At 40.2% G+C, this 16,851-nt stretch overlaps 1 long non-coding RNA gene across 1 annotated transcript in view, besides 1 other annotated feature; it reads right to left on the bottom strand.

Annotated features, from left to right (window-relative positions):
• The window catches only part of TARS1-DT (TARS1 divergent transcript), a 32,713-nt gene that overhangs the window by 15,366 nt on the left and 496 nt on the right, over nt 1–16,851 (bottom strand). The window contains exon 2 of the long non-coding RNA XR_001742630.2: nt 691–859. This is a non-coding gene — a long non-coding RNA (TARS1 divergent transcript). The remainder of the gene's footprint in view (nt 1–690; nt 860–16,851) is intronic.
• Nucleotides 12,690–12,739: a silencer, noted in NCBI's record as "silent region_15962". NCBI's record gives its function as "represses an Ori minimal core promoter by ATAC-STARR-seq in GM12878 lymphoblastoid cells {active_cell/tissue: GM12878}" and the evidence as "EXISTENCE:reporter gene assay evidence [ECO:0000049][PMID:35858748]".

Raw genomic sequence — 16,851 nt, forward strand, 5'->3', positions numbered from 1 at the left:
GATTACTATAGTCTCATGCATGCAAATATTTAGAATTTTTAACTTAGAGGAATCTAGGGGATCATATACTTCAACCTTCTCATTTTCCACTAGTGAAAACGGAGAACCAAAGTGGTAATTTTTGTCCATGCTTAAGGTCACAGAGGTAGAGGTTGCCCAAAGCCTACTGACTCCCAATCCAGCATGTTTGTCATTACATTTGTACCCTCAAAAGCCAAAGAAGGAAAGAAATAATACTTTAAAAAATTGTATTCCTTTGTACAAAATTATTTTCTAATATCAAACCTGTTAGTGATAATTACACTGTTTTGTAATGTTTGTTTACTTATTTAAGTTTTTCTATAAGTTTCATGAGGTTAGAAACCCCAGGCCTCACTCATCTTTGTAGCTCCAGCACCCAGGCCTATACTGACCCTATCACTGATGCCCTAATCTATCTATCTAGCTAGCTAGCTAGCTATCATCTATCTAATCTATCTCTATCATCTATCTAATCTATTATCTATCACCTATCTATCATCTCTATAAAGCAAGAATAGTACATTGTCAATATATCCTTTTTAAAATGTAGTGGGGAGTGTGTAATTTTATAAAATGAGCACATATTGTATATGATTTGTGTGACCAAAAGGAAAACACATTTATTGGGCTGGGTTTTCCCACCTTTCCTTTGAAAAACCAAGTATTTACCTTCTGCATTATTTTGGTGGGGCTGACCCAGTCTCCTGCAGTCCCAGTGAGTTCATGACCAAAGCTTGGCAAGTCTCCATTTGTCTTCCAGTGGGCACAGTGACTGGCTCAGGGACTTTTCCGGTAAAGCCACTGGGAAAGATGGCTCCTCTTCCTCTGGGATCTTGAGCTACAAAGATGTAAAGATAAAATAGAAAAATTAGTGGCCCTTTTCTCCTGGCACATGGAAATAGCTTTCGTAAAACTGAAGTTAGCACGTGAAGGGAAGCAGAGATAGAGACTGGATTCATCATTAAAGCCTCTGAATCTGGCCATGCCATTTTTTGTTTGTTTAAACTTGCTTGAGCGGGTTTCTGTCTCTTGAAATCAAGTGCTGATAATATTAAAATATATCACTCAAAGGCTGAGTGCAGTGGCTCATGCCTGTAATCCCAGCACTTTGGGAGGCCAAGATAGGTGGATACTTGACGTCAGGAGTTCGAGACCAGCCTGACCAATATGGTGAAACTCCATCTCTACTTAGAAAAAAAAAAAAAAAAATTAGCCAGGCATGGTGTCACGTGCCTGTAATCCCAGCTACTTGGAAGGCTGAGGAAGGAGAAGTGCTTACCTGGGAGGTGGAGGTTGCAGTGAGCTGAGATCATACCACTGCACTCCAGCCTGGGTTACAGAGCAAGACTCTTGTCTCCAAAAAAATAATAATAATTAAAATATATGACTCAAAAAAGCAATTTTTTGAGGACAAGCCTTTCAGTTCCCAACTGTTTCCATGCAAAACAAGGCAGTTTTATCAACTCAGCTTGAAAATAGGAAATCATATCCTAGATATGAGATACCAATTATCTCTTCCTCCTTCTCTTAATGCTTATATTGCAGCATCTGATTCAGCTATTGAAAATGTATTGCGAATCTTTTTTCAATCCTTTTTTTATCTTTAATTTTAGGTTTAGGGGTACATGTGCAGGTTTATTATATAGGCAAACTGTGTGTTTTGGAGGTTTAGCACACAGGTAATGTTGTCACCTGAGTAATAAGCATAGTACCTGATGGGTACTTTTCTGACCCTCTCCCTCCTCTTACCCTCTACCCTCAAGTAGGCCCCAGGGTCTGTTGTTCCTCTCCTAGTGGATCCATGTGTTCTCATTGTTTAGGCCCCATTTATAAGTGAGAACGTGAATATTCATTTTTCTGTTTCCTGCATTAGTTTGCTTAGGATAATGGCCTCCAGCTCCATCCATGTTGTCACAAAAGATGTGATCTTATTCTTTTTTGTGACTGCATAGTACTCCAGGGTGTATAGGCACCACATTTTCTTTATCTAGTCTACTGTTGATGGGCATTTAGGTTAATTCTGTCTTTGCTGTTGTGGATAGTGCTGCAATGAACATACCATGCATGTGTCTTTATAGTAGAATGATTTATATTCCTTTGGGTATATACCCAATAATGGAATTCCTGGGTCAAATAGTATTTCTGTTTAAAGAGCTTTGAGAAATCACCACACTGCTTTCCACAATGGCTGAACTAATTTACATTCCCACCAGCAGTGTATAAGCATTCCGTTTTATCCACAACCTTGCCAGCATCTGTTTTTTTTAAAATTTTTTTAATATTAGCCATTCTTACTGGTATGAGATGGTGTCTCATTTTGGTTTTGATTTACATTCCTCTAATTATTAGTGATGTTGAGCGTTTTTCATATGCTTATTGATTGCATGTATCTCTTCTTTGGAAAAGTGTTCATGTCCTTACCCCACTTTTTAATGGGGTTGTTGGTTTTTTGCTTGCAAATTTGTTTAAGTTCTTTATTGATTCTGGACATGAAACCTTTGTCAGATGCATAGTTTGCAAATATTTTCTCCAATTCCATAAGTTGCCTGTTTACTCTGTTGATAGTTTATTTTGCTGTGCAGAATCCCTTTAATTTAATTAGATCCCATTTGTCAATTTTTTTTGTTGCAATTGTTTTTGGCATCTTTGTTGTGAAACCTTCGACAAGTCCTATGTCCAGAATAGTATTTCCTAAGTTATCTTCCAAGGATTTTATACTTTCAGGTTTTACATTTAAGTATTTAATCTACCTTGAGTTGATTTTTTTAATATGTGTTATAAGATAGCAGTCCAGTCTCAATCTTCTGCATATGACTAGCCAGTTATCCCAGCACCATTTTATGAATGTGGAGTCCTTTTCCCATTATTTATTTCTGTCAGCTTTGTCAAAAATCAGATGATTATAGGTGTGTGGCATTATTTCTCAGGTCTCTATTCTGTTCTATTGGTCTGTGTGTCTGTTTTTGTATCAGTACTATGCCGTTTTGGTTACTGTAGCCCTGTAGTATAGTTTGTGCCTTGTAATTGGGGCATTAAACCTGTTTACATTGAAGGTTAATATTAGTATGTGTGGATTTGATCCTATTATCATGTTGTTAGCTGGTCATTATGCATACTATAAACATTGCTATATAGTATCACTGGTCTGTGTATCTAAGTGTGTTTTTGTAGTGGCTGGTAATGGTCTTTTCTTTCCATAATTAGTGCCCCTTTCAGGACCTCTTGTAGCACAGGTTTGATAGTAATGAATTCCCTTAGCATTTGCTTATCTAAAAAGGATCTTATTTATCCTTCACTTAGTTTGGTGGGATATGAAATTATTGGCTAGAAATTTTTTTCTTTAAGAATGTTGAATATAGGCCCCCAATCTTTTCTGGCTTGTAGAGTTTCTGCTGAAAGGTCAACTGTTAGCCTGGTGGTTCCCTTTGTAGGTGACCTGCCCTTATTTCTTGCTGCCTTTAACATTTTTCCTTTCATTTTGACCTTGAAAAAACTGATAATTATGTGTCTTGGAATGATCTTCTTGGGTAATAGCTCACGAGGGTTCTTTGTATTTCCCAGATTTGCATGTTGGCCTCTCTAGCAAGGTTGGAGAAGATTTAATGGACAATATCCTAGAATATATTTTCCAAATTGCTTGGTTTCTCTCCTTCTTCCTCAGGCACACCAATGAGTCATATATTGGGTCTCTTTCCACAATCCCATATTTCTTGGAGGTTTTATTCATTCTCCTTTATTGTTTTTTCTTATTTTTGTCTGACAGTTATTTCAGAGGATCAGTGTCAAGCTCTGAGATTTTTTTCCTCAGCTTGGCCTATTCGGTTGTTAATACTTGCCATTGCATTATGCAATTCTTGTAGTGTGTTTTTCAGCTCTATCAGATCAGTTTGGTTCCTTTGTATAATGACTATTTTGTCTATCAGTTCCTGTATTTTTTTATTGTGATTCTTAGCTTCTGTGGAGTGGGTTTCAATGTTCTCCTGAATCTCAATGACCTTTATTCCTATGTATATTCTGAATTCTATTTCTATCATTTCAGCCATTTCAGCCTGGTTAAGAATGCTTGCTGGGGAACTAGTGTGATCACTTGGAAGAAAGAAGGCACTCTGGCCTTTTGAGTTGCCAGAGTTCTTGTGCTGGCTCTTTCTTATTGTGTGGGCTGATGTTCCTTCAGTCTTTGAAGTTGCTGTCCTTTGTTTTTGTTTTTGTTGTTGTTTTTGTTGTCCTTTGATGCCCTTGGAAATTTGATTATGTATGATATAAGGTGAGTTCAGTTGATTGGATTCAATTCTTGTTCACTACTGGGTCTTGGAGAAGCCTCCTCTGATTACTGTTTCCATGCCCACGTTTCTTTTGTTGAGTGTTCTGGTCCACTGGGCTCCCTTCGGTAGGGGCTGCAGTTAGTAGACAAGCTGTATCCTTGCCAAGTCAGCCCTAATCTGCTGTCTGGGTACTTCCTGGAAAACATGGGTTGTGCCTGTCTGCAGAATTCAGGCAGAAGTAGGACCTCTGGGTTGTAAACTCTAGTGGATGTGGCCTGTCTGGCTATGGGAGGGGAGGATGGATGGAGTTGCCTGCCCTGCTGTAGGGGTTTTCAGGGCAACAGGAGGCTGAACTCTTTGGTAAATTCAGGCAGAAGTAGAACCACTGGGCGAGAAGCTCTAGCAGATGTGGCTCCCCTGGCTACCAGTGGTGGGAGTGGGTGAGGATAACTGCCTTGTTGTCCAGATGCTTCCTGGAACAACAGGAGGCTGCACCCACTAGCTGAATTTCCACAGAAGCAGGATCGCTGGGCCCAAAGCTCTACAGGTGTTGCCCACCTAGCTATCAGTATCAGAAATGTATGGGATCATGCACCCTACTGTCTGGGTGTTTCCCAGGACAATAGGAGACTGCACTCTCTGGCTGAGTTCACACAGAAGTGGGACCACTGGGCTAGAAGCTCTAGCAAGCATTGGCCACCTGGCTAGCACTGGGGTGGTGTGGGTGGGTGGAGTGGCTGGCCGAGTTTAGGGGAAAGAGAGACTGCTGGACTGGAAGCTCCGAGCCACGTTCAGCAAGAGGGGGTGGAGCAATCTTACTGTTCCCAGGCACCACAACTGTGGCCTCTATTGGGGCTGATGTGCTGGTGCTAGTCTGCTTCACAGCCCAAGGCTTGTAGAGGTCCCCTTGAATCCAAGAGTTGCTCCCACATCTGTGTGGCTCTCTGCCTCAGTCTAGAAGCATAGTGCAGGGGGAGGGGTCATGGGAAGGCTGAGGGGATTGTCCTATTCCCAGTCTTTAAAGCATGAATCCACCTGGGGGCTCTCTCTCACTCTTTGCCATGTTGGAGAGGTTCTCCTGACTCTACGCTGAGCCCACACAGGCTGGTGCCCACCTTTGCTCCTCTCTGCTCCCTGTGTTCTCCTGCTGCCTTGATGGATCCCAACATGGCTTCTCAGATGATTGACCTGCAGGGTCAGTGTTCACTAGCCCTTTTGTTTCCTTTTTGTGAGAATGGCGCATATGAGCTCCTTCTAGTCCTCTATCTTGGCTTCATCCCCTGTATTGCTTATCTTTATGTTGAGATATTTTATTTCTTCAAGCAGACTGTAAACTCTCTAAAGGCACAAATCACAGAACAGCCTAAAACAAAATAGGCATTAGTAGATATATTCTTGAGGAACATAAGGTCTAAGTTGTATATACTATCCAGATTATGCATTACATTCTGAGAAAATAGTTTATGAGAGTTATTTCCTAAGGAAAAAAAAAAAACTCCTAACTAAATAAAATTTGCAGTAAGAGAGAGAATCTTTGCTTTTGTTGCAATTTCTTTTGATGTTTTTGTCATGAAATCTTTGCCTGTGCCTATGTCCTGAATGGTATTGCCTAGATTTTCTTCTAGGGTTTTTATAGTTTTGGGTTTTACATTTAAGTCTTTCATCCATCTTGAGTTAATTTTTGTATAGGAGTAAGGAAGGGGTCCAGTTTCTGTTTTCTACATATGGCTAGCCAGTTTTTCCAGCACCATTTATTAAACTGAGAATTCTTTCCTCATTGCTTGTTTTTTCAGGTTTGTTGAAGATCAGATGGTTGTAGATGTGTGGTCTTATTTCTGAGCTCTCTATTCTGTTCTGTTGGTCTTTGTGTCTGTTTTTGTACCAGGGCCATGCTGTTTTGATTATTGTAGCTTTTTAGTATAGTTTGAAGTCAGGTAGCATGATGCCTCTTGCTTTGTTCTTTTTGCTTAAGATTAAGGAACTTAAACAAATTTACAAAAAAAAAAAAAAAGAAGAAGAAGAAGAAGAGAAGAAAACCATTAAAAGGCCAGGCATGGTGGCTCATGCCTGTAATCCCAGCACCTTGGGAGGCCGAGGCAGGTGGATCACAAGGTCAGGAGATCAAGACCATCCTGGCTAACATAGTGAAACCCCGTCTCTATTAAAAATACAAAAAATTAGCAGGGCGTGGTGGTGGGTGCCTGTAGTCCCAGCTACTCGGGAGGCTGAGGCAGGAGAATGGCATGAACCCAGGAGGCAGAGCTTGCAGTGAGCGGAGATCGTGCCACTACACTCCAGCCTGGGTGACAGAGTGAGTCTCTGTCTCAAAAACAAAACAAAAAAACCCAACAACCCATTAAAATTGGGCAAAGGACATGAACAGATACTTCTCATTTATGTGGCCAACAAACATGACATTTATGTGGCCAACAAACATGAAAAAAAAAAATCCCGACATCCCTGACCATTGGAGAAATGTAAATCAAAACCAAAATGAGATATCATCTCACACCAGTCAGAATGACAATTATTAAAAAGTCAAGAAACAACAGATGCTGACGAGGCTGTAGAGAAATAGGAATGCTTTTACACTGTTGGTGGGTGGGAATGTAAATTAGTTCAACCATCGTGGAAGACAGTGTGACGATTCCTCAAAGACTTAGAACCGGAAATACCATTTGACCCAGCAATCCCATTACCAGGTATATACCAAAAGGAATATAAATAATTCCATTATAAAGATAGATGCATGCATATGTTCATTGCAGCACTATTCACAATAGCAGAGACATTGAATCAACCCAAATGCCCATCAATGATAGACTGGATAAAGAAAATGTGGTGCATATACACCATGGAGTACTATGCAGCCATAAAAAGGAATGAAATCACATCCTCTGCAGGGACATGGATGAAGCTGGAAGCCATTATTCTCAGCAAACTAATGCAAGGACAGAAAACCAAACACCACATGTTCTCGCTTATAAGTGTGAGTCAAACAATGAGAACACATGGACACAGGGAGGGGAACAACACACACTGGGGTCTGTCGGGGCGGGGGGTATGGAGGGAGAGCATCAAGATAAATAGCTAATGCATGTGGGGCTTAATACCTAAGTGATGGGTTGATAGGTTCAGCAAACCACCATGGCACGTGTTTACCTATGTAACAAACCTGCACTCCTGCACATGTATCCCAGAACTTAAAATAAAATTACATTTAAAAAAAAGATAGAGAGAGAGAATCATGTAATTTGCAGAATTACCCCCAAGTGGTGGTGTCATGTGGCAGTAGTTACTAATTTTCCACCAAAATATTTTCTTCCCCTCAATAACAGAAATTAAGTGAGGTACATGACTCTTTAGCTAGAGACCAGATTCCTCAGCCTCCCTAGAAGCTATGCAACTCAGTTTGGACCAGTGAGATATGAGTAGAAGTAACTATGTGCCACTTCTGGGTCTGGGCCTTAAAACACTTGGAATAAGCAATTCCACTCTTTTTTTTGCAAATTGAAATGCAGAAATGCCAGCAACCCAAGTACAACCATGCAGATGAGAACCCTCTAGAGAAAGGGTTAACAAGCTATCACCCATAGAGCAGCCACTTGGTTTTGTAAATAAAGTTTTATTGGAACACAGCTATGTCCATTTGTTTACAAAGTATATATAGCTGCCTCTGCACCACAATGACAGAGAACTTAAGTAATTGCAACAAAGACCGTGTTGGGCTGCAAGCCTTAAATATTTGCTATCTAGTGTTTTCAGAAAAAGTTTACCAACCACTGCACTAGAGCAAAAAGATAAAAGGAACTTGGGGCCCTACATAGCTGTAACAGAAAAATAAGTAATCATCTAGTTTACTGTCATTGTATTTTGGAGCCTCTCTTCTACCTCTGTTTAGCATTTACTGTAACTATTGTATCTTATGAATTGGATTTCTGTTTTCTTCTATCTGATTGCTAGAAATAGGGGCTTATGATGGCTAGGGGAAAGCATGAATGTGGCACCATGGTCTTGTTGGCTCCCAAGTAGGTTGTACCAGCAGAGGACTCCAATTTTATTAAGCTTCCAAGCTGCTTCTCACTGAAAAATTCAGCTGGCTATGTATATCCTTGAACTAGCATAGTGTCTCAGATTGAAATATTGGTATCAACATTCCCAAACTCAGTTCTTGAGAGATAATTTAAAATAGTCCAACAGGTCAATGGGAAGATATGATGATTAATTTACATGTCAACTTGACTGGACCAGGGATGCCCAGACATTTGGTTAAGCATTATTCTGCTTGTATCTGTGAGATTTTCTGGATGAGATGAACATTTGAATGGGTGGACTGAGTAAAGAGTGCCTTCCTTAATGCAGGTGGGCCTCATCCAACAATTAAAGACCTGGGTAGAACAAAAAGGCTGAGTAATAGGGAACTCCTCCTGCCTGATTGCTTGAGCTGGAACATTGTGCCTTCAAACTTGACTGAAAAATGGGCACTTCTTGGATCTTGAGCCTGCTGGCTTTTGGACTGGAACTTTTACCATGGGCTCTCCTGGGTCTCCAGCTTTCCAATTGCAGAACTTGGGACTTCTTAGCCTCTATAATCTTGTGAGCCAATTCCTTCTAAGAAATCTCTCTCTGTCTCTTTCTCTGTCTCTGTGTCTGTCTCTCTCTCTCTCTCCTCCCCTCTTTCTCTCTCTTCAGATAGGTAGGTAGGTAGGTAGATAAATAGATGGCAGATAGATAGATAGTAGATAGATGATTTTGTTTCTCTGAAGAACTTTGGCTAATATTCAGAATATTTTTTATGTATACACAAATTACTCATATATTGCTATAAGAAACAGGACTTGAAAAAATGTTTTTATTCATAATCACATCACCATAATTGAATCATTGGGTGGGAAGTACTCAGAAACAACATGGATATGTGCAGATTTGTTTGGAGGAAAAACTATCAGACTATACAACTCAGAGAACCAAGTGATTCTTTACCAGCAAGCACTCAAGTTCCGTATTTTTAGAAAGACCTTCCAGTTACTGCCCTTATATGCATTTTTTTTTTATTTGATGAGGCCCAAAAGATTGTACAGAAGAATTTTCATTTTTTTAGACCAGTATTCCTAACTGTAAGTAATTTTGCCCCCATAGGACATTTGGCAATGTCTGAAAGCAGTTTTGGTCATGACAACTGGGAGAAGAGTGCTATTGATATTCAGTGGGTAGAGGTCAAGGATCCTGCTAAGCACCTATAGTACACAGAACAGTGGCTTCCCTCAACAAATAATTATTTAGCCCCAAAATGTCAATAGTGCTGAGTTTGTGAAAAATCCTGCTTCAGACAATGCTTTTGATATCCGGGTAAGGCCACATATCAAAGTCCAGCAGCCATTTATTTAGTAAAAATGAACTCACAGCCTTTCCTGGAAACTGTTTTTAATAGAGGTAGGAAGGATGAAGAAAAGTGTGAGGTGCTCAGATACCTTCAGGGAATGGCACAGATACTCTGCAAAGAAATGAGAAGGGAGGGACGCCAAAGGCAAATGCACAATTCTACACATTTACAACTTACTTTGGAGGAAAGCATGCCCTTTGGAGATGAGGTTCAGAACCTCCTAAAAGCTATCCAGAATGTATTCCTCATACGCTAGGCCTCTCAAAGCTATTTTAAATCTGTCTTAGTCCATTTTGTATTGCTATAACAGAATACCACAGCTAGGAGATTTACAAAGAGAATGAACTTATTTCTTAAATTCTGGAGGCTGGCAAATCCAAGGTCAAGGGGCCTATACCCAGGGAAAGCTTTCTTGCTGCATCATCCTATGGTGGAAAGCAGAAGGGCAAGAGAGCTCAAGAGAGCAAAAGAGCAAGAGGGGGCCAAACTCACTTTTATAGCATGCCCACTCTCACAATAACTAACCCACTCCCAAGATAATGACATCACTCCAATCATGATGGCAGAGCTGTCACGACATAATCACCTCTTACTAGGCTCCACACCCCAACAGTTGTATTGGGGATTCAGTTTTCAACACATGAACTTTAGGGGACACAGTTAAATCATAGCAAAAGCTCTCAGCAAAGAAGAGATATGACAAAAATGAAAACAAATTGAGGAATATTATCCATAATGGTTCCAAATAAATCTAGAGTAAACCAGAGAGGGTAACCGGCTAGAGCATTCATTTCCCCAAACATAATTAACTTTTATAGCCCTTTAGAATTTGCAAAGTACTTTGTATACTTGTACTTTCATTTTATCCTCCCAACAAGTTCTGGAATCAGGTTTATTACTTCTATCACCATTTTATAGCTGAGGAACATGATTATATCACACGGGGCTCCAACAGAGAACAGAGGGCACACTCGGGTTAGAGTAATTTAAAGAGGGTTTATTTAAAACAGATGAGAAGTATAGGGAGTCAGGATCCTACAAATAGTAATTGTGGGAAATCTGTAACCACATGTAGGCCAGGCAGGGTGAGGGTAGCCAGCATTTGCTGGAACCTAGAAGGGAAGTGTTCTGTAGTTATTGCTATGAGATCAGCAGTGACCTTTGGTTGTGAAACATCAGCAGCACAAGGCAACCTCCTCCTGGGAAGAGCCAGGGGTATACATGTCCTGATTTTGTTTTCTTCCCTCCCAACTCCTGCTGAGGGTCTCACTGGCTGGAAGCAACTGGAGGCCAATGGCCCAGCAGTCCATTGGTACAGGCCACACCTTTTCCCCTTCAACATCCTCTATAGCTTTTCATCCACATGAAAAGTGTGTGCCTCCAACACAAGGGACACATGAAGTCCCTTCAGAATGTGTATCATCATGGAGTGATCTTGATTCAATCATATTCCCTCACGAGAAGTAAAAAGTTAGCCACTCCTAGTATTCTTTATATATGATACATATATAAGGAAAAGTTGGGGGAGTGGAAAAAAAAGTAACAAAAAACATAACTTCTACAGGCCATACTTCTTTCTGGTCATGAGGGCTAATTTAGCAATCATAGCACTAGCACCAGCTCCATGGATGCACAACCTGGGGAGTCACACAGGACTCAATACTTAGAAGCGCGCTCTACACTTAGTTGCTGCTCCACTGTGCCTATTAAATAGATTGAAATTAACAAGGAGCCCTACATTTTTATTTTGCATTGGGTTCTGCAAATTATGTAGCTAATATTGTATAACTCTGTTCTTCTAGCACCTATTCAAGTTACCCTTAGCCTTTGTCAGGACCTCGCTAGACTGGGTTCTTTACCTAGAAGGATAGCCCAAACCTTCCTTCCTTCCTTGTCTTTGTTGGGTTCCCAGAGTTTTCCAACAGCAGAATATTAGACAAGGAAGTACTAAAAAATGTCTCAACGAATCTCCTGGGTTCTTGACAAAACTCTCCTTTATGTAGAAGAAACCCATTTGTCCTCTTGTAATCAGGATCAATCACTCTGGCCAGAAAAACAATCCCAATTCTGCCTGTGAGTGTAGCAGTACGTGAAGCCCCACATAGGGTGTACTCTTAGGCCAGTTGATCAGAACCATGACTATGCCCCTGATAGAAGCATTCTTCCCTCAGGGATTAGTTTCTTCAAAATCATCCAGCCCAAGGTTGTAGGAACCAGAAGCAAAAATTATTCAAATGAGTAATTAAGGATTGATAATGAAGAAGACTCTTTTGCCCCAAACCCATAGAGAGATGGTTATGTACAAACTTCTATTATTTGTAACATTATTTGTAGCATATCACATAATTTTGCTTCACTTCTCAAGGCAGAGCTATTGACAGCCACTTTCCTAAAAAGTATGTAGGAGGCCAGTGTGGTGGTTCACACCTATAATCCCAGCATGAGAGGCCAAGGTGAGAGGATCATTTGAGGCCAGGAGTTTGAGACTAGCTGGGCAACAAAGCAAGACCTTGTCTCTAAAAAATAAAATAAAATAAAAAAAATAAAATAATGTAAAAAATTTTTAAAGCATGTAGGGTAGTTGGTGATATGGTTTGGCTGTGTCCCCACCCAAAATCTCATCTTGAATTGTAATCACCATAATCCCCATGTGTCAAGGGTGGGACCAGGTGTAGGTAATTGCATCACGGGGCAGTTTCCCCCATGCTGTTCTCCTGATAACGAGTGAGTCTCATGAGATCGGATGGTTTTATAAGTGTCTGACATTTCCCCTGCTGGCACTCATTTTCTCTCCTGCTGCTCTGTGAAGAGGTACCTTCTGCCATGATTGGAAATTTCCTAATGCTTCCCCAGCCATGCAGAACTGTGAGTCAATTCAACTTCTTTCCTTTATAAATTACCCAGTCTCAGGTATTTCTTCATAGCAGAGAACGGGTTAATACAGTGGGCATAAATTATAACACTGGGAGTAAATCAGAAGTTTTTTTTTGTTGGCAAATACACAAAAGTTGTATAACAGTGTTTTGTGCTTTAGGTCTGAGATGTGTTGGACGCTCCCGTGATCTTTGCTTAGCTCTAAACACATAGTGAAAGAACACCTTCCTAACACCAGAGGGCACTGTGCCACAGGGATACCTCTGCGAGGTTCCCACACTAGCAACTCATTACATTCTTCCCCTATGTTCCTGCACCACAGTCAACCTGTTAGAAATGCCTTCTGCACCTGTTGTTTCCTGACTTTTTAATGATCACCATTCTAACTGGTGTCAGATGGTATCTCATTGTGGTTTCGATTTGCATTTCTCTGATGGCAAGTGATGATGAGCATTTTTTCATGTGTCTGTTGGCTGCAAAAATGTCTTCTTTTAAGAAGTGTCTGTTCATATCCTTCGCCCATTTGTTGATGGGGTTGTTTTCTTCTTGTAAATTTGTTTGAGTTCTTTGTAGATTCTGGATATTAGCCCTTTGCCAGATGAGTAGATTGCAAAAATTTTCTCCCATTCTGTAGGTTGCCTGTTCACTCTGATGGTAGTTTCTTTTGCTGTGCAGAAGCTCTTTAGTTTAATGAGATCCCATTTGTCAATTTTGGCTTTTGTTGCCATTGCTTTTGGTGTTTTTAGACATGAAGTCCTTGCCCATGCCTATGTCCTAAATGGTATTGCCTAGGTTTTCTTCTAGGGTTTTTATGGTTTTAGGTCTAATATTTAAGTCTTTAATCCATCTTGAATTAATTGTTGTATAAGGTGTAAGGAAGGGATCCAGTTTCAGCTTTCTACATATGGCTAGCCAGTTTTCCCAGCACCATTTGTTAAATAGGAAATCCTTTCCCCATTTCTTGTTTTTGTCAGGTTTGTCAAAGATCAGGTGCTGGAGAGGACGTGGAGAAACAGGAACACTTTTATACTGCTGGTGGGACTGTAAACTAGTTCAACCATTGTGGAAGACAGTGTGGCGATTCCTCAGGGATCTAGAACTAGAAATACCATTTGACCCAGCCATCCCATTACTGGGTATATACTCAAAGGATTATAAATCATGCTGCTATAAAGACACATGCACACGTATGTTTATTGCAGCACTATTCACAATAGCAAAGACTTGGAACCAACCCAAATGTCCAACAATGATAGACTGGATTAAGAAAATATGGCACATATACACCATGGAATACTATGCAGCCATAAAAAATGATGAGTTCATGTCCTTTGTAGGGACATGGATGAAGCTGGAAACCATCATTCTCAGCAAACTATCATAAGGACAAAAAACCAAACACCGCATGTCCTCACTCATAGGTGGGAATTGAACAATGGGAACACCTGGACACTGGAAGGGGAACATCACACACCGGGGCCTGTTGTGGGGTTGGGGGACGGGGGAGGGATAGCATTAGGAGATATAACTAATGTAAATGACGAGTTAATGGGTGCAGCACACCAACATGGCACATGTATACATATGTAACAAACCTGCACGTTGTGCACATGTACCCTAGAACTTAAAGTATAATAAAAATATATTTAAAAAAAGAAACGCCTTCTGCTTTTTCTTTTTGCCATACTTAAATGAGGACTGTTTTTAAAGTTGAAAGAGAACAAAGAGTTAAGAGAAGCTGCTAGAAACAATGTTATATAGCAGTTAAATATAATTGTTAGCCTATCATTTTCTGCATCCAGCAAATTCAGGAATCTTGATCTCTCTGGTTTTCATTATACTTAGTTAAAATTAAGATACAATTCAGGCAAATGTGTCTAATGAGCATAATTAAATTGTTTTACATTAAAAGGTAAGATTAGATCCTATTGATTCTCATTCTAATTTAAATGTGGGGAGTTAGTTTGGTCTATTTAAGCCTATTAAAATTGTACATAACTCCTGGAATATCAAGCACTACTAATAATCTACTCTCATCATAAACTTTCTTCTAGATCTAGTTAGTAAAGGGGTTTTGACTTCTTTTATAATACAAATAAAGAGGTAATTTTCCAAACCTTGCTTGAAAAATTAAGCAAGTTTTGTCTCAACACTCAACATTTATTGAACATCTGCTGTGCGATAGGTTTACATCTTCCAGATGCTGGCAAAAATACACAAAGTGTGCTTTCGTGAAGTTTTCAATCAAGGAGATAAAATATATTTTAAAAAAACTATAAACTTGCAAGGTAGGAGAAGAGCTTAAGCTCAGGAGTTTGAGACAAGTCTGGGTAACATAGTGAGACCTCATGTCTACTAAAAATTAAAAAATATATATATTAGCCGAGCGTGGTGGTGTGCACCTGTAGTCCCAGCTGTTCAGGAGACTGTGGCGAGGGGATCAATTGAGCCTGGGAGATCAAGGCTGCAGTGAGCTGTGATCACACCACTGCACTCCAGCCTGGGCAACAGAGCAAGACTCTGTCTCAAAAATAAATAAATGGATAGATAGATAGAATAAAAAATAAGAAAAAATTAACTGGGTGTGGTGGTGTGTGCCTGCAGTCCTACCTACTTGGGAAGCTGAGGCAGAAGGACTGCTTGAGTACAGCAGTTTGAGTCTGTAGTGAGCTATGATTGTGCCACTGCACTCCAGCCTGGGTAATGGAGCAAGACCTCATCTCAAAGAAAAAAGAAAAGAAAAGGACTATTATTAAAATCAAGGTGTCAGCTAAAGAGCAGTTATATATATATACACACACACACACACACACACACATATGTATATGTGTATACATATATATGTAATCTGCAAATTAGGTAGCTAATATTGCATAACTCTGTTCTCCTAGCACCTTTTCAAGTTACCCTTAGCCTTTGTCAGGACCTCGCTAGACTAGATTCTTTACCTAGAAGGATAGCCCAAACCTTCCTTCCTTCCTTGTCTTTGTTGGGTTCCCAGAGTTTTCCAACAGCGAAACATTAGACAAGGAAGTACTAAAAAAGGTCTCAGTGAATCTCCTGGGTTCTTGACAAAATTCTCCTTTATGTAGAAGAAACCCGCTTGTCCCCTTGTAATCAGGATCAATCACTCTGGACAGAAAAACAACCCCCAATTCTGCCTGTGAGTGTAGCAGTACGTGAAGCCCCACATAGGGTGTACTCTTAGGCCAACTGATCAGAACCATTACTGTGCATATATATATATATAATATATGTATATACATATACGTATGTGTATATGTGTGTGTGTGTGTATATATATATATATATACACATATATAGTAAACTTGCTTAGCTCTAAATACACACATAGTGAAAGAACAAGTTGAACCGGTAAGTTCTACCAAGAACCACATGAAACTACCAGCAGACACTATTGTAAGCGCCAAGGGGACCTTTCTCCTTGGCCCTCTGAGGTTTGGCTGAAAATCACTAACATGAGGAACATTAATAGAAAAAACATACAAATTTACTTAACGTGTATACACAGGAAGAATCACAGCGTGATTACCCACCCCTCAGAGGGCTTCAGAAGCTTGTGGATACAATCCCAGCGACACAGGTTATGATAGGGAGAAGAGGAATTCTGTTGAGGGATTACAAAGGAGAATGAATGTATCAGGAACACATTAATTTGTACAACATCTTGTGAAAGGGTCTGCTCAGGTGTGATTACTACATTCTTGGTCTTACAGGGAGGCAACAAAAACAATTATGTTCCTTGTGATGTGTCTAAACTTTATCCTTTGCTTTGGCAGAGATGGCGTGGGGATTTAGGGGAGTGGGACCTTGAGGCTTCTTCAGTTCAGATGTCAAAACGCCATTATTTGGGGGTATGTTTCTGCGCCTCCAACACTGTTTAACAGGGAGGCTTGTTTCATCCAGTAAGGGAGTCAAGAAATGGTTCCCCGAAGAAAACGATTCTTGAAATCTGACAATAAATGAGGTGTCAAACAGGCAAAAAGTGTGTCGGAATGAGCACGGATGAGGGTAGGGTGGAAAAATCTTGGTACTTAGTCTGTGGGAAGACCTGAGGAAAAAAAGCCACTACAGTTTATAGTTCAGTGTATGGTGGGCGAACGAGATGAAGCCGAAAACTTGGACAATCAGGGATTGTCCAAGAGCAAGGGAAAGCCACCAAAGATTTTTCAGCAGATTGCCGTGATCATATTTGTATTTGAAGACTACAACGATGCTGTATGAAAAATGGATGCACAAAGCCGAATTGGGAAGCTATTGTTCCTGGAAAGTATAACCCTGAAGGCGGAG

The sequence above is a fragment of the Homo sapiens genome, chromosome 5 (assembly GCF_000001405.40).
Source record: "Homo sapiens chromosome 5, GRCh38.p14 Primary Assembly".
NCBI lineage: Eukaryota > Metazoa > Chordata > Mammalia > Primates > Hominidae > Homo > Homo sapiens.